Below are 26,092 nucleotides of genomic sequence, written 5' to 3'. Positions count from 1 at the left end.
TTCAGAAGCTGTGGAAGCCTTAAGCTGCTACCTCATCCACTGACTATGCTGTGTCACATACAATTAAAAGTCAATTATTTTTAACAATTTAGGTACCACTAGAAAATAAACTTTATAATTTACCAATAATCAATATTCTTGAATACTTGCTATAAACAAGATCATATACTAAGCCCTCTGAAGACTACAAAAACGAATAAGACCAAGGGAATGACTGGTCATATTTGCAGGGTAATAAGATCATTTTAGTTGGATTGCAGAAGAAGGATTCTGGTTGGGAAAAAGAAGGAATTAGTACTTAGGATATTGGCTTAGTTATTTTAACAGAAGCCAAATAACTGGGATTCCAAAAATAAAAATGGTTTATTTCTCTTTCATATAAAAGATTGAGATGGCAAGCAGTTGGAGAGGACAGGATTCCTTTTATCTTGTAGCTCTTCAATTCCCTATTGTGCTCCCTTTACCTGCAAAGTTGAACCTGATTCAGCACCATCTCATCTACTTATAACCAAACTGCAGCAAAGTCACAGAAGGAGGAAAGAGGAGGAGCATCAACGGTGCTCATATCACGCCCACTCTCAGACTGTTGACTAGAACAATGCCAGGTGATGTTGTAGCTTGGTCACGTAGGGCTGCCAGGGAGACTGGGAAATGTGGCCTCTAACTGGGAGGCATGGGGCTCAGTTCTAGTAGCAAAAGAAGATGGGAGAATAGGCCTTGGGTATAACTATCAGTCTCTGCAATAGGCGGCAAGGTGAGGAGATCAACTGAAAGACTATTAAAGAGATAATGGTGGCCTTGAACTAGGTTAGTGACCATAATAATAAGAAGAATTGGGCCAGGCGCGGTGGCTCACGCCTGTAATCCCAGCACTTTGGGAGGCCGAGGCGGGCAGATCACGAGATCAGGAGATTGAGACCATCATGGCTAACACGGTGAAACCCCATCTCACTAAAAATGCAAAAAATTAGCCGGGCATGGCGGCAGGCGCCTGTAGTCCCGGCTATGTGGGAGGCTGAGGCAGGAGAATGGCATGAACCCGGGAGGAGGAGCTTGCAGTGAGCCGAGATCGCGCCACTGCACTCCAGCCTGGGCGACAGAGAGAGACCCCGTCTCAAAAAAAAAAAAAAAAAAAAAAAAAAGAAGAAGAATTGAAAGAATATTTAGAAAGAAGAATTGACAGGACTTGGTGATTTCCTGAATGCAAGGAATAAGAGAGAGTAAGGAGTAATTAATTTATCCCTTAAATATGTATCAGGTTCCTACAATGTGCCAAGTGTTGCCCCACAGTGCTGGATGTACAGTGGTGAATAAACAGATACTATACTTGCCTTAAGGTACTTAGAGACTAGCGTGTGATGCCCAGGGTTCTGTTGAGGCAAATTGTATTGCTAGCCATTGAAAAGTTGAATGCAGAAGAAGGAGCAGGTCTGGGAGAAAGTGGTGAGTGCAAGCTAGATAATAAGCTTGAGGTGCTTGTGGGACAACCAATCAGTGATACCCAGGAGGTGGGAAGAATGTGTAGGTCTGACTCTAAAGAGGGAGATTGGAGTTTGAGATACTTATACGCTGAGGACCATCAACACAGATGGTAATTTGCAGCTGTGAGAGTAGACAGAATTGCACAGAGAGAGAGTATATTATTTAATGTATGAAAAAAATGTTCAGTGACAGTATCTCACTCTGTCACCCAGACTGGAGTGCAGTGGTGTGATAGCTCATTGCAGCCTCAAATTCCTGGGCTCAAGCGATCCTCTTTCCTCAGTCTCCCAAGTAGCTGGGACCACAGTTGTGTGCCACCATGCCCAGCTAATGCTCAGAGTGCAGAGAGGAAGTAGAGAAGAGGATCTCAGACCAAACACAACACCATCATTTAAGAAGAAGCCCATGTTTAAGGAAAAGGAGTAATTGGAGGGGTTAAAGAAAAGCTAGGTGAACACAATATCATGACAGCAAAGGGAAGAGAATGCTTTAAGAAGGATCAAATACTTTCATGATGTTAAAAAACAGAGACAGATGGAGATGGAGAGGGAGTAGGGCAGAGAAGATACAGGACTGCAAGGGATGTTTGTGTGACTGCAAGGGAGTGTTTTTGTTTTGCCTTAAAGGTGGGACAGATTTGGGCGTGTTTAAATGCTAACAGGGAGGAGCTAGTACAGAGGAAGACACTGATGATAATGGAGAGAAGGTCCAATTCCTGAAGGTGGTGGTTGGAGTGGAAATGGAGATGGAGTTTATATAACAAGTAGCCCTACAGTGAGGGGACAATTTCTCCCATTATGATTTGAGAACATTAAGAGAGAGTAAGTATAGATTCAGCTGTGTTCATGAATTCACACCGGGAATTACATTAGGCCTCATCTGGAGCCTTCTTTTTTTTGTCTGTAAAAGCAAGGTCGTCTGCTGACTGCAAGGGTGTGGGGAGGTTGCATGTTGGAAATCTAGGGAAACTTAGAAGAATTGCTTGACAGTAGGAAAGAAATGAGTTCTTCATAGGAGCCTTAATACAAATTTATGTTGTACTGACAGAGGCGTTTGAACCAGAGTGACTCCATCTTGAATAGGGGCTGGGTAAAATAAGGCTGAGAGCTACAGGGCTGTGTTCCCAAGAGGTTAGGCATTCTAAGTCACAAGGATGAGACTGGAGTTCAGCACAATATACAGGTCACAAAGACTTTGCTGATAAAATGGCATGTGGTAAAGAAGCTGGCCAAAACCCACCAAAACCAAGATGGTGACAAAGGTGACCTCTGCTCATTTTCACTGCTCATTATATGCCAATGATAATGCATTATCATGGTAAAAGACACTCCCACCAGCACCATGACAGTTTACAGATGTCATGGCAATGTTTGGAAGTTACCCTATACGGTCTAAAAGCGGGAGGAACTCTCGGTTCCAGGAATTGCCCACCCCTTTCCCAGTAAACTCATGAATAATCCACCCCTTGTTTAGCACATAATCATGAAATAACCATAAAAATAGCCAACCAGCAGCCCATGCTGCTGCTCTGCCTATGGAGTAGCCATTCTTTTATTCCTTTACTTTCTTAAATTTGCTTTCACTTTAATCTATGCACTCATCCCGAATTCTTTCTTGCATGAGGTCCAAGAACCCTCTTTTGGGGTCTGGATCAGGATCCCTTTCCAATAACAGTACCATATAGTTGTTCTCATCATAGTGTGAATGTCTCCAGCAGTGTTTACAAGCCTAGATAAAATCCTGGAGGTGGTAGATGATTGGCTTAATCTAGGGTTAGATTTTGCTAGACAATTTTTTCTTTGTTGGGGGAGTGGAGAATGGGGTCTCACTCTGTCACCCAGGCTGGAGTGCAGTGGTGCAATCTTGGCTCACTACAGCCTCCGCCTCCCTGGTCCAAGCCATTCTCCTGCCTCAGGCTCCCGAGTAGCTGGAATTACAGGCATGCACTACCATGCCCAGCTAATTTTTGTATTTTTAGTAGAGATGGGGGTTTTTCCATGTTGTCCAATCTGGTCTTGAACTCCTGAGCTCAATTGATCTGCCCACCTCAACCTCCCAAAGTGCTGGGATTACAGGCGTAAGCCAATGTGCCCGACCTTGCTAGACAATTGTAATAGAAGGACTGAAAAACAAAGAGGTTGAAAGTATTGACAAGAATGTTGTTGAAATAATGGGTAAGGAAGAAAGGGAAGATGGGAGGGATGCTGATAGGGAAAACAGAGGGAATGTAGAAACTGGAGACCCAAAATTTGTCTAGGAGGGGATAAGAGAGTGTAATAACTAGAAGGACAAGAGGTTCCAGTCAGGATAGCTCAATTTGGAATAACGCCAGGAACTAGTATTTGAGAACCACAAAATTTTACAGGATTTCAGAGGCTGAAGATTTTTTGAGAATAAGCAAAGGCTTTATGCATGGAGAGAGTGACATCTAAATTGGACCATAAATAATTGGTAAATTGAAATAGAATAGATGAAAATAGAATGGCAAATTATGACTGAAAGCAAATAATACTATTTTAGTCTAAGCAGGTAAACTGGACACCAGTTGTGAAAGTCCCTAAAAGTCATAATAGAAATAAAAATAATGGCAATAATAATGGTCACTGATTTTTGTGTACTGTGCACCAGGAAAATCAGGCATTTTACACATTAGAGATATTTACTCCTGTCATCTCCACTTGAATTACTCAAAGGAACGAAATTTCACCATAGCCGAAAGTGAACTTTTTAATTGTCAGACTTGGTTTAAAAAAGACAACAAAATCCAATAACATTCTGCTTATAGGGGATGCATCTAAAAATATACAAAAAAAAGTGGCAAGTAAAGGAATGCAAAAATATATCATTAAAAATTTTTTTATTGTACTTTAAGTTCTGGGATACATGTGCAGAATGTGCAGGTTTGTTACATAGGTATACACATGCCACAGTGGTTTGCTGTCCCCATCAACCCGTCATCTACATTAGGTATTTCTCCTAATGCTATCCCTCCCCTTCCCCCCACCCCCTGACAAGTCGGTGTGTGATGTTCCCCTCACTGTGTCCATGTGTTCTCATTGTTCAACTCCTACTTATGAGTGAGAACATGCAGTGTTTGGTTTTCTGTCCTTGTGATAGTTTGCTCAGAATGATGGTTTCCAGCTTCATCCATGTCCCTGCAAAGGACATGAACTCATCACTTTTTATGGCTGCATAGTATTCCATGGTGTATATGTGCCACATTTTCTTTATCCAGTCTATCATTGATGGGCATTTGGGTTGGCTCCAAGTCTTTGCTATTGTGAACAGTGTTGCAATAAACATACATGTGCATGTGTCCAAAAGTAAATTCTTGATCTTCCTCCCATATCCCAAGCCTGATCTTCTTACAGGGTTAATTTCGGGGAATAATGTACTGTTCATCCACTTAAGCAAGCCAAAAACCTAGCAGCAATTCTTGACACCTCCCTTTTCCTAATACCCTATATCCCATTTCCCATCAAGTCCTATTAATTTTACCTTTTAAATACCTTTCTTCATCTTATCTTTCTCTACACCTACTTCATCCAAACTCATCAGTTGATTTACTCCAATGGCCTCTTGATTGGTATCTTTGACATTACTCTTCCCTACTAATGGATTCTCTTCACTGCAACCTGGGAAATCTTTTTAAAACACAAGTCAGATCTTATCATTCCCTTTATTTAGAACCTAAGAGATCTCCATTAAGATCTTCCTTTCATTGTTAGGATGAAGACCAAAATTTTGAACACGGCTTGCAAGGTTGATGTTTAATCTCCCTCTTATACACCACTACTGTAACTTTCCTTCAGTCTTTCTACTTGAAGTTGTCCTTCTCAGCACAGAGCCTGTTTCTTTTTTTTTCTTTTTTTTTGACAGAGTCTCGCTCTGTGGCCCAGGCTGTAGTGCAGTGGTGCAATCTTGGCTCACTGCAACCTCCGCCTCCTGGGTTCAAGCAATTATCCTGTCTCAGCCTCCCAAGTAGCTGGGAATACAGGCACCTGCCACCACACCCGGCTAATTTTTTGTATTTTTAGTAGAGACAAGGTTTCACCATGTTGGCCAGGCTGGTCTAGAACTCCTGACCTCAGGTGATCTACCCTCCTCAGCCTCCCAAAGTGCTGGGATTACAGGCTTGAGCAACTGCGCCAGGCCTGTTTCTTTTCTTAAATCATTTTCCCCAGCCCCCTTCATGTGTGAATTCTTCCTCTACCTTCATGTCTCTGACGAATTGTTTTTCGTTAGGAACACCTTCCCTAGCTTTTATGACTAAGGCAACACCTTCCTTGCAACAACCCTTAAGTGGAGACATTTTTATCCTCATTTCACAGATAAGAAAACTGATGTTTGCTTGAGCCCAGGCATTTGAGGATGCAATGAGCTATGATTGTGCCACCTGTACTCCAGCCTGGGTGACAGAGTGTGATCCTGTCCCTAAAAAAAGGAAAAAGAAAACATGCTCAAAGAAGATCAGCAATATCCTCATGGTGACATGGTAGAGTTGAGGCTATAGTATCTGATTCTGAATCCTGTGCTCTTGCCATTACCTCATATTTCCTTTAGCTACATCCCTGAATGATATTCAATAATAATGTTACACTAATAAGCACATCCATTTTAACCTTCTTTTGTAAGAAAGTTCAGATCCCTGGGAAGGTAGAGAGAACAAGACTCTTTTACTAAAAAGTAATCTTTTCTTTTCTTTCTTTCTTTTTTTTTTTGAGATGGAGTCTCAATCCATCGCCCAGACTAGAGTGCAGTGGCGCGATCTCAGCTCACTGCAACTTCCACCTCCCGGGTTCAAGCCTCCCGAGTAGCTGGGACTACAGGCGCCAGCCACTACGCCCGGCTAATTTTTTGTATTTTTAGAAGAGCTGGGGTTTCACCATGTTAGCCAGGATGGTCTCGATCTCCTGAACTCGTGATCAGCCTGCCTCGGCCTCCCAAAGTGCTGGGATTATAGACGTGAACCATTGCGCCCTGCCTAAAAAGTAACCTTTTCTTATGTACCTAAGGAGTCTCCTTCATCCACTTCTGCAACCCCTATTCTGCCTACATAAGTAGTTATAGATAGGACTGTAGCAGAGACATTTATCTCTCACCAACAAATCATGTGGTCTGACACACTTTCCAGCTCCCGCCTATAAGTAGGGCCATGTAACTAGTTCTGACCAATGGCTGTTAAGTGGAAGTGATGTGTGTCACTTCTGGGCTCAAGCGTTTAAGTGCAGCCTTCCAGCTCTCCCTTCCTCCGCTGTGGCAACTTGGAAGTCACATGTTCCAGATGACATAATTAAAAAACGAAATGCTTAGAAACCTGACTTACCACTTGGATGGGAGCTGCCCTGGAAAGAGGCCACTCTCCAGCAGATTTTGTTGGGGAGAAAAAAATGGCTCTGTGTGTGTTACCCACTCTGAGATCAGAATCTGCTTGTTAGAGCAGCATAGCTTAGCCTATTTTCACTAATACAAGCTCTGTAACTAGAGAGCTCTCTGGCCATTCAAAACCCATATTCGATTTGTTTTCTGAATCAGTAGAAACTATATTCCATTAGCCATAGTCCTGAGCTTGGTTTCAGAAGCTGCCATTTGAGGTATTATTGTTGTTTAACATTAATTATATTCCCAGATTTCTTCTATCTCTCACCTTTGTTCTGTTGCATGACCTTAGGCAGTCACCTAATGGGTTTTCCCTTAAAACTTAGTAACTTAAGGACAAAATTAACTTTCTTCCTTAGTAACTTAAGGGAGAAAAGGAAACAAAACAAACTTTGCTCTACTTTGAATAGATAATGAACGGAATCTCTAATAAAAGAATGGTAAAGTGCTTTGAATAGAAAGGATATGAGGCCAGGTGCGGTGGCTGATGCCTGTAATCCCAGCCCTTTGGGAGGCCAAGGCAGGTGGATCACCTGAGGTCGGGAGTTTGAGACCAGCCTGACCAACATGGAGAAACTCTGTCTCTACTACAAATACAGAATTAGCCAGGTGTGGTGGCACATTCGTGTAATCCCACCTACTCTGGAGGCTGAGGCAGGAGAATTGCTTGAACCTGGGAGGTGGAGGTTGCGGTGAGATGAGATCACACTGTTGCACTCCAGCCTGGACAACAAGAGCGAAACTCCACTTCAAAGAAAAGAAAAGAAAAAAAATGATATGAGGCTGCTAAGTGCTTTGTTAATGGGTGCTACAAGGTTGTAGAGTATTGTTTTTTTCTTTTTGTAAGTTCTCAGTACTTTAATGAGAAAGCTAGTAATTGACTACATCCTGCCTTGGTAAATGTAGCAGCATAGTTTAGCCTAGTTTGAAATGATGGGTTTGAGATGAAACTTGCACGGGTCATTTCACTGAACATTTTAAACAATGTTTTTAGACAAAAAACAGTAACATGTTAATTTCTAGATCCTAGACTAGAGCATGAAGGAAGACATTTTCTTAAAGTTACTTTAAAAATAGATATTTTATAGATAAGAGTTGATAAAAAGGATACCAAAACATATGGTAAGTATTAAGGGCTCTTGGTGTTTGGACAGGTATTTTGGGGCTAACTGTTGGACTTCAAAATTTATTTTATTTATGTTTGTTTTGTTTTGTTTTGTTTTGTTTGAGACAGAGTTTCGCTCTTGTTGCCCAGGCTGGAGTGCAATGGTGCAATCTCAGCTCACTGCAACCTCCGCCTCCTGGTTTCAAGTGATTATCCTGCCTCAGCCTCCTAAGTAGCTGGGATTACAGGCATGTGCCACCACTCCTGGCTAATTTTTTGTATTTGGCAGAGACGGGGTTTTACCATGTTGGTCAGGCTCGTCTCAAGCTCCTGACCTCAAGTGACCCACCTGCCTCGGCCTCCCAAAGTGCTGAGATTACAGGCGTGAGCCACCATGCCCGGTGACATCAACATTTATGTCTGGGTAAGTCTCACTCTCCCTGCCCCTACTGCAGCTCTTTCTGGTGAACACTAGAGTAGGTCGGCCGGGTTCTTTGCTCCTCACTGTACATTCTCCATCCTTTTCCACCCTGCTGCCTTCCCCAGGAGGCAAACCTGTGTGGATTTCACAAACCGATTCTCTTGCCTTATGGTGTTCTGTTGGGTTTGGCCAGTAGGAGCCTTACCAGGAGACAAGAGGGAAGGAGAAAAGCAAGGTGAGAATATTTAGTTCACTCCTCCTCTTCCTTCAGGGAAAGGAAAAGTATGGAGGCTGGGCATGGTGGCTCACACCTGGAATCCCAGCACTTTGCGAGGCGGAGGCAGGAGGATCACTTGACACCAGGAGTTCAAGACCAGCCTGCGCAACATGGCGAAACGCTGTCTTCACAAGAAATATGAAAAACTAGCCATATGTGGTGGCATGCACCTGCAGTCCCAGCTATCCAGGAGCCTGAGGTGGGAGAATCACTTGAGCCCAGGAGGTTGAGGCTTCAGTGAGGTATAATCGTGCCACTGCACTTCAGTCTGGTGACAGGGTAAGACCTTGTCTCAAAAAAAAAAAGGAACCAGGATAAATTTTAGACTAACTTATGAGATAGAGAAATAAAGGAGTAGAGATCAAATCACTTGGCTAAGGTCACATACCTAATTACAAGTAAAGCAAAAATTAATCTATGGTTTGTTTATTAATTTTTTTCATGTAACAAATATTTATTTCACCAGCGTAACTGAGATAACAAAAGACCCATTAATTTGGCCAAGTTTATACTAACGGTTAGAGCCACAGTGAGAACTGAACAAACAGCAATGACAACAAAAACAACCACAAAACAAAGGCCTTATCCCACCTGTTCAGCTGTCTTGCCTCTCACCCTGCTACCCGTGGTGCAGCATAGCCCTCAGAATCCCCAGCTTGGATTTTAATCAGCTCCCTGTCTAGTCTCCTTTGAAAAACCCACGCACATCATCTGTGGGGTTTGTGATATTACATTTGGTGCTTAGATCTCAGTTTTTGGTTGATATGCAAAAATGAAAAAGAGCAAGAAATTCCCCCAGAGACTCCACAGCTGTGCATCTGGAAAGAACACAAATCTCTTTCAACCAAGATCTAGCAAACAAAACAAAACAAAAAACAAAAAAACAAGCCTGCGAAGTAATTTATGCTCTAAGATTTCCCTCAGGATCCCCATTTTCTGAAAGTCTCAGATGACATGTTTGTGTTTGTGTGTGCTAGTTTCACTCTCCTTGGTCAAACTATCTATGCCTGAGAGTGCAGAAGTCCTGCTGTTTGGGGAATTGTCTCTGCCAGGGAGGGCAACATCTCCGTATATCCTCATTTAACTGTGAAGGCAGCTGTAAGCCCTTTAAATTCATAAGTGAAATTAAATCACAGAATTCTGTAGGTGGGTTTGATGCTGTCCAAAGATTCCCCAAGTGCAGAGCTAATCCATGAGTTAAAAAGTAGCAAATCTAAATACTCCATCTAGGATGGAGACTTAATCAAATATTAAAACAAAACAAAACCTGTTGATAATCAAGCCTGGGTCAACATAGGACACAACAAAGTGCACAGTTGAAATAATTTTCCAGGTACTTCATGTTTGAAACAATGCCTTAGAGGATAAAAAGACCATTTTTTAAAGGTTTTAAATCTATAGTCAATCATAAAAATGTGCTCTGCTTTAGGAAGGGAAGTTGGTATATTTTTCATGGTTCTGGCTGGGAGTCAAAAATCCTGTGTCTGTTCCCAGAGCTATCATTGTCTGTTGGTGTTCTGGGGTCACTTATTCTCTTGTGCCTCAGTTCCTCTATTATTCTCTATTATTGAAACAATGTATAATCTATGTATGCTCTGCTTTTAGCATACATGTACCAATTTCTTTACATAATGGGGAGTCTGGGAATGTTAATATTCAATTTGAGTTATAAAAAACGTAATTTGTATTTCAGGAACACAACTGTGGAGGCAAATGAAGTGTACCATCCCATTGTTGGCAGAGATATTTCAAATTGTTTGGGGGAAAAACACTTTTTGGAATTCAAAACACTTTCTCCATATGAAAACAATGGAAAATGGAGCTTTATGTTAACTTTTATATGAGCAGATCTTTATCACTCGAGCACGTGTCATAAATCCTTTGAAAATACGGTGACATCCTGCACAATTTTTAAAAAGTTAAAACTTGCCTTATTTCTGACAGGTGCCTACTCCTGTCCTATGGTTTGTAAAGGAGTCACCAGATATTGTCATTTGAACTTCTGGAATTTACATTTAGTATCAATGACTGAGAATCAACTCTTCCAAATAAACAGACACACACACACACACAAAATGCTACTGTTTTCCTCTTCTTTGAAAGAGGAAATGTGAAGCTCCTCATGTATTACAAACCATATAAACCTCTGCCTTTTCACTGAGGTCCAGCAACCCTTAAATGTTTTTTCCTTTTCATGCTGTTTCTTTGCATGTCAGTACTTAGGGGGTGGATCCAAGGTTCTCAAACCCACATCAATTGTTGAAGTCAGATTCCTCCCCATTCCTACATCCCCTCTTTCCCAGCCCCACTTAAGGAATGGGATCCTAAATACTGGAAAGATCCACCGGGCACGGTGGCTCACGCCTGTAATCCCAGCACTTTGGGAGGCTGAGGCGGGATGATCACCTGAGGTTAGGAGTTCGAGACCAGCCTGACGAACATGGAAAAACCCTGTCTCTACTAAAAATACAAAATTAGCCGGGCATAGTGGCAGGTGCCTGTAATCCCAGCTACTCAGGAGGCCAAGGCAGGAGAATTGCATGAACCCAGGAGGCCGAGGTTGTGGTGAGCTGAAATCGCGCATTGCACTGCAGCCTGGGCAACAAGAGCGAAACTCTATCTCAAAATAAAATAAAATAAAATAAAATAAAATTATATATGTGTGTGTATATATATATATATATATGATCCTTATCTTGTAATCCTCACTTCAAAGGGAAAAATGAAGTTTTCTCTGGTGGTACAATTTGCATTTTCTTAACCAGATTAAGTATCTCTAGCTGGGTGCAGTGGCTCAAGCCTGTAATACCAGCTACTCCAGAGGCAGAGGTGGATGGATCGCTTGAGGCCAAGAGTTCAAGACCAGCCTGAGCAACATAGCAAGACCTCCACAACATCTCCCTATCCCCCCACTTACTATCCCCAGTTCCATCTCTGAAAAAATTAAAAATTTAGCTAGGAGTGGTGTGATGGACCTGTAGCCCCAGTTACTCAGGAGACTGAGTAGGGAAGATTGCTTGGGCTCAAGAGTTTGAGGCTGCAGTGAGCTATGATCGCACCGCTGCACTCCAGCCTGGGTGACAGACCCTATCTCTAAAATTTATTTTTTCAGTAAAAACTCATTATTTTTAACTGCAAAAGATTTGACCAAACACCTTAATTAAAAAGACATAAATATGGCCAGTAAGCACATGAAAACATGCTAAACATCATCAGTTACTAGGGAAATTTTACAAAAAAAAAAATTATTTTTTTTTGAGATGGAGTCTTGCTCTGTTGCCCAGGCTGGAGGGCAGTGGTGTGATCTCGGCTCACTGCAACCTCTGCCTCCTGGGTTCAAGCAATTCTCCTGCCTCAACCTCCCAAGTAGCTGGGATTACAGGCACCCCCCGGCCCCATGCCCAGCTAACTTTTTTTGTATTTTTAGTAGATATAGGGTTGCACCATGTTGGCCAGGCTGATCTGAAACTCCTGACCACAGGTGATCCACCCGCCTCAGCCTCCCAAAGTGCTGGGATTACGGGCGTGAGCTGCTGCACCCAGCCTACTTCAGTTTTTCAACACAGGCTGACTCCTGTTAGCTTTGCCTGTGTCTTTAATTAAAGAGATGAAGATAGAAAGCAAGCAACAGATTTCTTTGGATACAAAATCACCTTGCCTTCAATTAATCTGTGAGATTTATTGTGGGACCCCTTTAGTCCTGCCCCATAATCTTGAATGTCAGGTGCTCTAGTTGGAGTTCTCCGTAGAAGTTACTGTGATGAATATCTTGATTAGATGTGAAATCAAATGTTATTTTACCTTTTTCATGGAGTAGAAAATCTAGGTAAGGTCTACAAAAGCCCCATATTAATGAGTGACTCACCTGGTGTGGTAGACATAATAATGTCCCCTCCCACCCAAGATACCCACTTCCTAATTCTCAGAACTTGAAAACGTTAATTTGTATAATAAAAAGGGCTTTGTAAATGTGATTAAAGTAACTATCTTATAATGGGGAGGTTATCCTGCAGGCCCTAAGCGTTATCGTAAGTGTCTTTACAAGAGGAAGGCAGAGGCAAATGTGGGGGAAAGGAAGTCTCTTCCTTACCCATCACTAGGATCATGGCTGAGGCCCCATCAAAAGATAGATTGACAGGAGAAAAGCATATACATTTACTTAATAAGGTTTGTGTGAGATGGGAGCCCTCATAAGGAATTGAAGACCCTGGCCGGGCATGGTGGCTCACGCCTGTAATCCCAGCACTTTGGGAGGCCAAGGTGGGTGGATCACGAGGTCAGGAGATCGAGACCATCCTGACTAACATGGCGAAACCCCGTCTCTACTAAAGATACAAAAAATTAGCCGGGCGTAGTGGTGGGCGCCTGTAGCCTCAGCTACTCCGGAGGCTGAGGCAGGAGAATGGCGTGAACCCAGGAGGCGGAGCTTGCAGTGAGCCGAGATTGCACCACTGCACTCCAGCCTGGGCGACAGAGCCAGACTCCACCTCAAAAAAAAAAAAAAAAAAAAAAAAAAAAAAAATCCCAGCTCTTTAGGAGGCCAAGGCAGGTGGATCACCTGAGGCCAGGAGTTCAAGACCAGCCTGGCCAACATGGAGAAATTCCATCACTACTAAAAATTCAAAATTAGCCAGGCATGGTGGCACATGCCTGTAATCTCAGCTACTCAGAGGCAGGAGAGTCACTTGGACCCAGGAGACAGAGGTTGTGGTGAGCCGAGATCGTGCCATTGCAGTCCAGCCTGGGCAACAAGAGCGAAACTCTGTCTAAAAAAAAAAAAAAAAAAAGCAAGAAGGAAATGATGAAGGCCCAAAGGAAGAGAGAAACCCATGTATTTCTGTGCTTAGGTTTAATAGAGTGGACAGTCATGCAGAAGTATGATTGGATAAAAGGGGTCTGATCTGATCTAATGGTAATCAACTGAGGGGAAATTAGTGAGGCCTGTTTGTTCAGTTTCTTCTTGGCATCTCTGTCTTAGTTCCTTTCCCCCAGATATAGGGAGGGCACCTCTTTAGTAAGAATCTTATGACATGCTTCAGGAGAAGATCAGAAAATTCTTCCTAGGTTTTATGATTTGCATCATGGAGGAAGGGTGGTGAAAGGTGAAGTGACCTTCCTGGTTCTGCTATTTTCTCAAATGCCAAGGTGCTATATTTTGGGGTGGTGTGCCCTTAACCCCATCAAAGATTTGACTACAGAACATGAGAAGGTGGGCCAGGCGCAGTGGCTCACGCCTGTAATCCTAGCACTTTGGGAGGCCAAGGCAGGCAAATCACAAGGTCAGGAGTTTGAGACAAGCCTGGCCAATATGGCGAAACCCTGTTTCTACTAAAAAAAATACAAAAATTAGCTGGGTGCGTTAGTGTATGCCTGTAGTCCCAGCTACTTGGGAGGCTGAGGCAGGAGAATTGCTTGAACCCGGGAGGCAGAGGTTGCAGTGAGATGAGATCGCACCACTGCACTCCAGCCTGGGCAACAGAGTGAGACTCCGTCTGAAAAAAAAAAAAAAAAAGAAGATGAGAAGGTGATGTGATGATGGAAGCATACCTTGAAGATGAAGGAGGAGGTCACAAACCAAGGAATACAGAGGACCACTAGAAACTAGAAAAGGCAAGGAAGTGAATTATCCCTTCAGAGCCTCCAGAAGAAGCCAGTCCTGCCAACACTTTGACTTTAGCCTGGACAACTGATTTTTGGACTTCTGACCTCCAAAACTGTAAGAACAAATTGCATTATTTTAAGCCACTAGGTTTATGGTAATTTATTACAGCAGCAACAGAAAATGCACACATCTAACACAAAGCATTTGAATTTGCATCTATCCAAATAATTTTTAACTTTTATTTTATTTTATCTATTTATTTTGAGACAGAATTTTGCTCTGTCGCCCAGGCTGGAATGCAGTGTCACCACCTTGGCTCACTGCAGCCTCCGCCTCCTGGGTTCAAACGATTCTCCTACCTCTCAGCCTCTGGAGTAGTGGGGACTACAGGCGCACGCCACCACACCTGGCTAATTTTTGTATTTTTTAGTAGAGATGGGATTTCGTCATGTTGGCCAGGCTGGCCTCAAACTCCTGTCCTCAAGTGATCCGCCCATCTTGGCCTCTCAAAGTGCTGGGATTACAGGCGTGAGCCACCGTGCCTGGCCTTAACTCATATATATATATGTGTGTGCGTATGTGTATATATATATATATATATATGTGTATATATATATGTATATACATATATATATATGTGTATATATATATGTATATACATATATATATGTGTATATATATATGTATATACATATATATATATATACACACACGCACACATATATATATAACCAGTCATCTTTTATTTGGAGGTTAATTCCCATTAGAATATGAAAGGATTCAGCAACGATCAAGATTGTGTTCCTCATGGTGGGGCTTGGGCCAAGAAGGTCATGGTGGGGAGTGCAGAGCGTGTCCCCTTCTTCAGTGGTACCTGCATAGCCGCTTGTGCTTGAGCTCCTTGTAGGAAAGGCAGTATCGGAAGAGCATGTAGCCTGCCAGCACCATGGTCAGCCCCGAGATGCTCCCCTTCTTCACGTTGATGTATTTGTTGTAGTACCAGTAGTAACCTCTTTGAATCCCTGCGGCAATGACTCGATCCTGCATCAAGATCCAGCTTGGCAGCTCCCCTAGTTTGACCTCCAGATGTTTCTTGTCCTTCACTGGTATGACTGATGTCATCTTGGAGACCTGGGGTCCACTGTGCCTATTTTAGATTCTCACCAGACTGTATCCACAATGACCAATCATTTAAAAAGTGAAATAGATATTGGGCTATAGAGTCTTAAGTCTTGACTTTAGTATTAATATGAGATATATTTTAAATTTAGAAATTCAGAAATCTCAAGTATGTTTATTTTAGAATGATAGTTTAGTGACTTTGGGATTGTTTTAGAAACTGTATCAACATCATGTGTAAAAAAGAGAGAATAATAATATTTTCTTTCTTTTTTTTGAGAATAATAATATTTTCTAAATCCTAGATTTTAGTCTTATTTGACTCAAGGAACAAACTAGTAGTGAGTGTCAAGTGTCTCATTTTTATCTTTTATGCCAAAGAGTGCTCAGTGTACTAAAAATAATGCCTACTGTGTGGAGGGGCAGGTAATCAGTTCTGGGATTCTTTTTTATTTTATTTTATTTTATTTTATTTTATTTTATTTTATTTTATTTTGAGACGGAGTCTTGCTCTGTCCCCAGGCCGGAGTGTAGTGGTGCGATCTCAGCTCACTGCAAGCTCCGCCTCCCGGGTTCAAAGGATTCTCTTGCCTCAGCCTCCAGAGTAGCTGGGATTACAGGTGCACACCACCACGCCTGGCTAATTTTTATATTTTTAGTAGAGACGATATTTCACCATGTTGGCCAGGATGGTCTTGATCTCTCGACCTCGTGATCCACCTGCCTCAGCCTCCCAAAGTGCTGAGATTACAGGCGTGAGCCATCACCCCCGGACTTGGGATTGTTATTTTTAGTGAGATGCTCTGAAAATATTACAACCTATAAATTTCATTTGGCAGCTTCGAGGATTACAAATAATTCAGTAGGCTCTTAGATATCTGAGTTTCTGTCTCACTCTGGCTGGCACTTTATAAAATATGTCAAGAAGAATGTTAATGTTGCATGTGGAAGAGATATCCCAGGAATCTGATCTTGAGAACTTGAACATAATGTTAATGTACGTGCTATAGGCTTATAGGCTCCATGAAGCAACCTTCTGTTAGATCAAGGCAAAAAAAAAGGTCTACCATTTCCTACTCCATTTCCATGCCCGTAAAAGTTTTGTTTGCCACTTTGAAATCTGCAATGAATCTAGAGCAGTAGCATCAATACTTTCCTAACACTGGATGGATACTATTCACAGCATCCCCCCTCCTCATCGTCACCGGCATCACTTTCCTCATTACCACCATCCCCATCACTAGCATCTGTAGCACACTTAGTCTACAAAGAGCTTTCATTCACCTGACCTTCTTAGAACAAGATAATTATCAACTTTTGGTGCTGGACCGAGTGTTTGGACACTTCATCTTGCAGTGATTTTGTGGGGGTAAATAGAGCAGCATTATTTGCACAACTCCCAACAACACAGTGTTTGCTACATAAGGAGTGCTTGATAAATGTGGAATTGATTAATGTAAATAAGGAAACTAAAGCTTAGGAGAAGTTCTGTTGTTTTCTCAGTATCAGGAAGAAAGGAATTGCAGACACTAGTACTCAGGTCTTTCAACTTACAGCATGGGAAACCAAAAAAAAAAAAAAAAAAAAAAGGCTTGTGTAAACTCTTGGAAATGGCTCTATGTTGTCTTAGTTGAATAATAAGGGGAAGAACAAAAGATTAAAAAGGCCATTGTGATTCATCAAAAGTACACAATCATTGGCTTTATCTCACATGATGTGAAAAGAGAAAAAAAGAAATGAAAATTGATGATACATCAGTATAAAACAAAATCAACATCATAATATTGTCACTGGATGTTGATCTTTTGTTGTGGAAAGGAGAAAGGGGTTTAGCCATGTGGCTATAGGTCATTTGTACTTTCTTTGTCCATTCTTCTTCTTGGTGGGGAGTAGGAGTAAATTTCCTCTCCTTTGTTAAACTAAAGACAATTTCCTTTTCTAGACTTAAGTTTTCCTTGCCCCAAGTTAATACACAGCTAACCCTGCTCAGATTGATACATATGTAAATTTACACAATTGTTTCTATTCGTAAAGGGAAAAGCTATTGTCAACAAAATGTGAGAAGTGCTCTTTTAAAAGTCCTCAATCCCTCACAGCAAAGGTGTTTAAATTGCTAAGGACCAACGAAGGCATTTCTGAAGCCTGCTCTTTGTAGGAGACTCAAATCTGCAACCAAGAAGCACCTGGGTCATTGGGAAGCCTATAATTACTTGGAAAAACAGAGGATGAAATTCAGGGCATTACCTATAATGTTCACTTGTTTCTACCAAAGGTCTTGATTCAAATTGATTTAGCAATTCCACAGTTCCAGTGAAAGGAAGCTAATATTTATTGTGTTGCTACTTCAACCACCCAATGAGGTACAATTATTTGTTCAATTTTTAAGGTAAGAAAACTGAGAAATAAGTTATGGAACTTATGAAGCTATATAAAATTGAGGTTAAGAACTGGGGCTTGAGTTTCATTGCCTTGAGTTCCAGTCCTGACACAATCATTAACTAGCTGTGTGATTGTGGGAGGAAAATGGACTCTCTAAGCCTCAGTTTCTTTACCTATGAAATGGGAGTGGGAATGGAGAATAGGAGCTACTGCAAACAGTTGTTTTGAGGATTCATGTCAGACTAGAAATACTTAATTATTATCATCAAAGTGATTAAGGTATAAATTTCAGAGATGGAATTCAAACCTCAAGCTCATCTCATTTCACCATATTGCCCTTTAGATGGTGTTCACAAAGGCCAACATTTTTCATGGCGAGATGTCTAGAATTTGAACTTTAGAATGATCCTTCTGGTCAATTTAAATCTGCTGTGAAGCAAGTTGCCCACCTACAGGTAAAGCCCCCGTTATGTCTTAAAATGAATGATGAAAATGGCTGCAAGAATTTGGGAGGGAGGCCCTGAGTCCCATATAATTTCATGTTGCAGGACATGGAATGGAAGGACATGGAAGATACAAATAGAGTCGGACAAGAAAGACTTTACCTAACTCTGGAGGAATCAGCTTTGAGGAGACCTACAAAGGGTAAATCTGTTACACACACACACACACACACACACACACACACACACACAGTGGAAAACACCATGCAGTAAGGAATATGAAGATTTCCATAAAAGTGAAGGTCATACTATTCTCCAGTTCCATTTTGTCAGGAGAGCCAGTACGTGTCCAATCCAAATCAAAGCATGCTGTACCACGGTTTTCACCACATGCTTTAAGAATGAGGAGGTGGGCGCGATGGCTCATGCCTGTAATCCCAGAACTTTGGGAGGCTGAGGCAGGTGGATCACGAGTTCAAAAGATCAAGACCATCCTGGCCAACATGGTGAAACCCTGTCTCTACTAAAAATACAAAAATTAGCTGGGCGTGGTTGGCGCATGCCTGCAGCCCCAGCTACTCGGGAGGCTGAGGCAGGAGAAACGCTTGAACCCGGGAGGGAGAGGTTGCAGTGAGCCAAGATCACGCCACTGCACTCCAGCCTGGGGACAGAGTGAGACTCTGTCAGAAAAAAAAAAAAATTAGGAAAGAGGAGATTAAGAACAGAGAGTAGAGGACAATGGAGGAAAATTGAGATTACTTTTTGGAAGAAAGAAAGGAAATATTTGCTCTTCTACATCCTACAATATATCAGGTAGGAGTTTGCTTTTAAGTTGGGCTTTGAAGGAAGGCTAAATTCATTAGTTGGATACAGAAAGAATCAACTTCCTTGGGGTGTGTGTTGGGGGGAGAGAGAGAGAGAGACAGAGAAAGAGGTGTACCTGGGGTGTTGAAAGCAGTTGTGATTTATATGGCAAGTAGGTACTCATCATCTTGTTTGAATACACATTTTCTTTTTTTTCTTGAGACGAAGTTTCACTCTTGTTGCCCAGGCTGGAGCACAGTGGCATGATCTCCACTCACTGCAAGCTCCGCCTGCCAGGTTCAAGCAGTTCTCCTGCCTCAGCCTCCCCAGTAGCTGGGATTACAGGCATGTGCCACCACCCCCGGCTAATTTTTTGTTTTTTTAGTAGAGATGGGGTTTCGCCATATTGGCCAGGCTGGTCTCGAACTCCTGAACTCAGGTGATCCACCCACCTCGGCCTCCCAAAGTGCTGGAATTACAGGCCTGAGCCACCGCGCCCGGCCGAATCCATTTTCATGTGGACTTTTGATTATACAGTCAATTTCGAGTTTTGCCTTCTTACTAGGGTATATTCTAAAAGTTCATTTTAAATAATGTTCAAATCATTTTACAATGTTTCTTTTTTCTTTCTTTCTTTCTTTCTTTTTTTTTTTTTTTGAGACTGAGTTTCGCTCTTGTTGCCCAGGCTGGAGTGCAGTGGCGCGATCTCCGCTCACCGCAACCTCTGCCTCTGGGTTTCAAGCGATTCTCCTGCCTCACCCTCCTAAGTACCTGGGATTACAGGCATGCGCCACCATGCCTAGCTAATTTTGTATTTTTAGTAGAGACAGGGTTTCTCCATGTTGGTCAGGCTGGTCGCGAACTCCCGACCTTAGGTGATCCGCCCGCCTCGGCCTCCCAAATTGCTTGGATTACAGGCGTGAGCCACCGCGCCCAGCCCAGTGTTTCTTTTAATATGCTTTTGATGTTTTTGAAACAAAGAAAATTTACTTTAAAGTAAATACCGTATAATGCCAAAATTAATTTTAAAGCCAGGAAATTGTTTCTATAAATATGATTTTAAAGTCATCATACAGCTCTGAAAAGTTGTAAGAAACACTGTCTGGATCTAGTTTTTAAAATATTGTCCAAAACAATTTCCTTGTTTCATCTGGCATCCTTTACTAAATCATATTAATGTTAGGACAGTTTTTTCACTGGGCGAGGTGGCTCACGCCGGTAATCCCAGCACTTTGGGAGGCCGAGGCAGGCGGATCACGAGGTCAGGAGACCGAGACCATCCTGGCTAACAAGGTAAAAGCCTGTCTCTACTAAAAATACAAAAAAAATTAGCAGGGCGCGGTGGCAGGCGCCTGTAGTCCCAGCTACTCGGGAGGCTGAGGCAGGAGAATGGCGTGAACCTGGGAGGCGGAGCTTGCAGTGAGCCGAGTTCGCGCCACTGCACTCCAGCCTGGGCGATAAATCGAGACTCTGTCTCAAAAAAAAAAAAAAAGAAAAAAGAAAAAAAGACAGTTTTTGCAATCTGTCTCCAATTACTAAGAAACGTTTCTCAACTGGTTGTTGAAAATATGAATTTCAATTTTAATTGTCAACATACTTGACTTTATTTATTGAGTAAATAAAATCTAATTAAGTAGACATTATTTTTTCAGTTTTACAGATGTGAAAATTAAGAAACAGAGAGAAGAGACTATTCAAAGCAGTTGAACACTGGATAAGAGCTGGATTTGAGTTTGACAGCCCTGAGTTCCAATCCTGGTTCCATCACACACTCGCTAAATGACCTTGGCAAAGTAGTTGACTCTCTGTGAATCTCTCTTAAGGCCATTCAGGCTAACTAAGATTTAGTTACCTAAGTTTTAAAAATTAACCATGTAGGCTGAGAGTCTACGCATTTGAATATTCATTAAATCATGATGGAGATATGAATTGACCAAATTCTTCTTTCTCTTCAACAAATCTTTATTAAAAATGCATCATGGGTCAGGTATTATACTAGTTAATGAAGAGACAAAGATGAAAAAGACATCTCAAGAAACATTGAAAAAGTTTCCGTAAATATTAATATCAAACCAGTAAAATAATATGTAGTGTGTCAGCTTGCTGTCATTTAAGTTAAATCTTGCATGGACCTCATAATTCTCGAACTTCTCTTGAGTTCCTTCATTTGGTGTTTGGTTTGGAAAGCATTTGAATACTATTTCAAAACTACTATTCTAAACATGGCTTTGCTGATATAATAGGAAACTGTAAACTTCCTTGAAGTATGTTTATTCCAACTTGCTATTATTTTATGTAACACTCTTAAAGAACTTAAGGTGAATCAGTATCTCCCGGTGAAGAGCTCTGGCTTTATACCAGACAAACTTAGGTTCTTATTCTCACCTACTTACTGGTTGCATGGCCTTGAAAAAGCTCCTTGAACTGTTTATGCCTCAGTTCTCTCATCTGTAAATTAAGGATAATGAAAGCACCTAACTAAAGAGTTGTTATGAGTTTACATGGGATTTGAGATGTAAAGCATTTAACTCATAGAAGCTCAATAAATTATTGACTATTGTAAGTAGTCTTCAATATATAATCTTAAATCTATAATCTTCAATATATAATCATCAATATATAATGATGAAATCATATATAAAACATTCAATATATAATCATCCCTCGGTATTTATGGGGGATTGGTTCTAGGAACTCCCTTGGATATCAAAATCCAAAGTTGTTATTTGGACAATGGTTATACTAAAAGCTCAGATTTCACCACTACACAATATATTCATGTAACATAATTGTACTTGCTGTACCCCTTAAATCTGTACAAAAAAAATCAGAGGATGCTCAAGTCTCTGATACAAAATGGTACAGTGTTTGCATATAACCTATGTACATCCTTCTGTGTGCTTTAATTTATCTCTAGGTTACTTATAATACCTAATACACTGTAAATGCCATGTAAATAGTTGTTATACTGCACTGTTTAGGGAATAGTGACAAGAAAAGTCTGTACATATTCAGTGAAGACATAATTTTTTTGAATATTTTTGATCTGCAGTTGGTTGAATCCATGAATGCAGAATCCACAGATATGGAGGGCTGACTGTACTTATGTTTTGTCAAAGTCAGAAACATTCTATTTACCTTTGACCTATTTGATTTGTTTTGCTTTGTACTCAATGTTGAAGTTTTTACCACTTTGCTCTCTAGTCTCCTACCTTCTCAGGGAGAATTGAGTTTTTTGTTCCCTTGTTATTGAAGGACAGAAGCTAAATAGTGTGGTCTGGAGTAGCCTCACCCTGGCAAATTGTTCCTGGATTGGGTCTGTCACATTGAGATTGCAGAATCTATCGTACAAAGATTCAATTTTTCTTTCTTTATTTCTTTCTCTCTTCTTTTTTATTTTTTTTTTATTTTTGAGATGGAGTTTCGCTCTGTCGCCCAGGCTGGAGTGCAGGGGTGTGATCTCCGCCCACAGCAACCTCCACCTGCCGAATTCAAGCGATTCTTCTGCTTCAGCCTCCCGAGTAGCTGGGACTATAGGGGCGTGCCGCCACACCCAGCTAATTTTTATATTTTTAGTAGAGACAGGGCTTCACCATATTGGCCAGGCATGAGCCACCGTGCCCGGCGCAAGATTCAATTTTTCAAAGCCAAGTTGCAAGAAAGTCATGCAGAAAAGACACAAGGTCATGCCATGCTTTAACAGTTATTTTTAAAGAGTACACTTTAATATTCGCAAAAGTGAAGAAATTCTAAAATATTTTCCTTGGTTGGTATGTATGAACATATCTATGTCTACACCTATTGTTTCCCAGGATAAATTTGAACTTTAACTTTCTCATCCACGTTCTCCTCTACTTCCTTTGACATACACCTTTCTCGGAAGAGACAGTCTTCTGCTTCAGACCAGCAGGTCCTTGATGATAGATGTATCAAATTCTGGCCAGGAGACACAAACCTCTCCAGTTAGTTTTACTGACAGAATTTAATATAATGGATTAACTAGGTGTAAAGGTGGAAGAAACTGAAAGGGTAAAAAGAGAAGTCTAATGTATCACAGATGTAGCAACTGTAAAAAGCAGCAACCATCCATCCCTAGGGCAGAGAGTACAAAAGGAAGAAGCTGGAGTTATTAATATTTAGAAAGTTAGAGGAGGACCCAGTGGAGCTAAGCCTCAGAACCTCAGGGGCACCTGCTGACTGGTGCTGTTTTCTCTGAGATGGGGGCAGGATAAAGCTAGTGCTCCAAGTATTGGCAGACTTCCACCTGAGTTCAGCTGCTGCTATGGGAAGAAGCTGCTATTGTTAGGGCGAAGAAACATTGCCAGTGTGATGCTTCCAGGAATTGCAAGCAGAAGGAAGCTCCAGAAGAAACAAATAGAAAGGAGCAAGTTTCTTCCTTCTTTGCACTCGTTGACTCCCACTTGAGCCCCGTATTATCAGAATCTAACACACAGCAAGCTGGCAAAGCAGAAATGTAGTTTGCAGAGTCCTAGTCACAGCATCTTAGAGCAGAGTAGGAAAGGGGGGGGTTGCAAGTGAGAGGCAATAGCTTAATAATTGGCACAATAGAGAACAGGTTTTGTTGTCAGCCTCTGGCATGGTTCCAGAACTACAGTCTTGAATAAATGGTTTGGGCCAGGCCTGGTGGCTCAGGCCTGTAACTTCAGCACTTTCAGAGGCTGAGGTGGGCAGATCACCTGAGGTTGGGAGCTCTAGACCTGCCTGGCCAACATGGTGAAACCCCATCTCTACTAAAAATACAAAAATTAGCCGGGTGTGTTGCCTGTAGTCCCAGCTACTTGGGAGGCTGAGGCATGAGAATCACTTAAACCCAGGAGGTGGAGGTTGCAGTGAGCTAAGATCGCACCACTGCACTCCGGCCTGGGCAGCAAAGTGAGACTCTGCCTCAAAATAAATAAATAAATAAATAAATGCATTGGAATGGATATGTGTTTACAGTTATATTTTCAAATGTGATTTCAGTGGTGAAAACTTCAGTTTCTCTTGTAAAAAGAGCTATCTTTTTTAGGAAAATGGAGCGCTTTCATTGAGGTGAAGTCCCAATGTTAAGGTCTTAAGGAATTACAGGAAAAGAGAGAGAATTAAACTGCCCTTAATCAGGAGTTAGCAGAAGTTGAAGGGGAATAGGGTCATGGGCAAAGGTAGTGGCTGAAAAGGAAAGGGAAGATCAAACAGTCAAACAAGAGCACCAGGGCCACACAACCTGTGAGATTAGGGTGGATAATGATAAAGAACCAGTCAGAAATTCTTGGTAGAAGGATGACACAAGGATTTTTAAAATAGAAATGATAAATATTTGACTTTGGCTAGGCATGGTGGGTCACGCCTGTAATCCCAGCACTTTGGGAGGCAGAGGTGGGCAGATCACTTGAGGCCAGGAGTTCAAGACCAGCCTGGCCAACATGGTGAAACCCCATCTCTACTGAAAATACAAAAATTAGCCAGGCATGGTGGTGCACACCTGTAATCCCAGCTACTCGGGAGGGTGAGGCAGGAGAATAATTTGAACCCAGGAGGCAGGGGTTGCTGTGAGCTGAGATTGTGCCACTGTACTCCAGCCTGGGAGACAGAGCAAGACTCTTGTCTCAAAAGAAGAAAGGAAGGAAGGAGGGAGGGAGGGAGGGGAAGAGGAAAGGAAGGAAGGAAGGAAGGAAGGAAAGAAGGAGGCTTGAATTTATGACTATGGCAAGGAAGGAAGAAGGCTTGACTTTATGACTATGGCTTTAAAGGTAAACTCAAATCTTCCAGACACTGACATTTGCCACTTGCACTGGTTTATTTATGGGTAAAGGACAGTATGCATTAGACACTGAGATGAGCCATATGTTGGACCAACTCTGTGAGAGCTAGAGCTATAAGACATAGGTAACTAGCAGAAACAAGACCTCTACAAGTTCTTTGCCCCTGGCAAAGAAGAGTTCGGGATGACCCAAACTCTGCTCCACGTGGTCACTCATCCTTATGTCCTTGTGGCAGTGGCAGGCACCTAAGGGATGAAACAGAAGCATGCAAGGTTCTTGAAACATAGCCTCAGAACTAGCATACTGTAACCTCTTCCTCATTCTATTGGCTGAGCTGCAAGTAACAAGACTGGCACAGGTCAAGGGTGGGGAGAAAATAATCACCTCTGGATGTGAAGATCTAGAAAGTGACATTGTAGGGGGCAAGAATGCAGGGAAAGGTGAAAATCTGAGGCTGCAGTTGTCATTGACCTACCATAGATAGATATGTTTTTGTTCTATCTGGGTTCCCAGTCAATTGGATGGTGCCCGCCCACATCGAGGGTGGGTCTTCTCCACTTAGTCCACTCAGACTCACACGCCAATCTCCTCTGGAGACACCTTTATAGACACACTTCAAAATCATGCTTTACCAGGCCTGTCAGTATTTATTTCCTAATCCAGTCAAGTGGACACCCGAAATTAGCCATCACAGCACAGAACTTCTCAAAGTGTGGTCTGGCTTCCAGTAACATCAGCCTCACCTGAGTGCTTGCTAGAAGGGCACAGTCTCAGGCACCACTCCACATCTGCTGAGTCAGAGTCTTTGAAGGTGGGGCCCAAAACACTGTGTTTTAAAACCTCTCCAGATGATTCATATGCACTTAAAATTTGAAAGGCAATGTTACTAGATCTAATAGACCTCAATTTTTCTTTAAGAGGTGGGCATAACTAGGTCTGAGTCGGCCTCTGGAGTTCTCTGACAAGGAATACATTTCTAGGAGTAACTGGAATGAGAAAGCAACTTTTTTGTATATTAAAGAAATATCATCAGGCCGGGCTCCATGGCTCACACCTGTAATCCCAGCACTTAGGGAGGCTGAGACAGGCAGATCACCTGAGGTTGGGGGTTGGAGACCAGACTGACCAACATGGAGAAACCCCGTCTCTACTAGAAATACAAAATTGGAAGGGTGTGGTGGCACAGGCCTATAATCCCAGCTACTCTGGAGGCTGAGGCAGGAGAGTTGCTTGAACCGGGGAGGCGGAGATTGCAGTGAGCTGAGAGCACGCCATTGCACTCCAGCCTGGGCAACAAGAGTGAAACTCCGTCAAAAAAA

The 26,092-nt window shown here is 42.0% G+C and overlaps 1 long non-coding RNA gene and 1 pseudogene across 1 annotated transcript, besides 2 other annotated features; one reads left to right on the top strand and one right to left on the bottom strand.

The window, feature by feature from the left end:
- Positions 1–673: 673 nt before the first annotated feature.
- LOC105376096 (uncharacterized) lies at positions 674–20,925 on the top strand. Its single transcript, XR_929973.3, has 4 exons — positions 674–754; positions 18,108–18,219; positions 18,313–18,409; positions 20,664–20,925. It is a non-coding gene; the product is annotated as an uncharacterized LOC105376096 (long non-coding RNA).
- Positions 14,997–15,414, bottom strand: ATP5MFP3 (ATP synthase membrane subunit f pseudogene 3; annotated as a pseudogene).
- Positions 16,444–17,101: an enhancer, noted in NCBI's record as "OCT4-NANOG hESC enhancer chr9:79653619-79654276 (GRCh37/hg19 assembly coordinates)". NCBI's record gives its function as "activates a minimal SCP1, AML or CMV promoter by ChIP-STARR-seq in naive and primed H9 embryonic stem cells {active_cell/tissue: H9 hESC(naive and primed)}" and the evidence as "EXISTENCE:reporter gene assay evidence [ECO:0000049][PMID:30033119]".
- Positions 17,102–17,760: an enhancer, noted in NCBI's record as "OCT4-NANOG hESC enhancer chr9:79652960-79653618 (GRCh37/hg19 assembly coordinates)". NCBI's record gives its function as "activates a minimal SCP1, AML or CMV promoter by ChIP-STARR-seq in naive H9 embryonic stem cells {active_cell/tissue: H9 hESC(naive)}" and the evidence as "EXISTENCE:reporter gene assay evidence [ECO:0000049][PMID:30033119]".
- Positions 20,926–26,092: the final 5,167 nt, after the last annotated feature.

This window comes from Homo sapiens, chromosome 9, assembly GCF_000001405.40.
Source record: "Homo sapiens chromosome 9, GRCh38.p14 Primary Assembly".
Lineage (NCBI taxonomy): Eukaryota > Metazoa > Chordata > Mammalia > Primates > Hominidae > Homo > Homo sapiens.
This window is presented reverse-complemented; position numbering and strand designations above follow the sequence as displayed.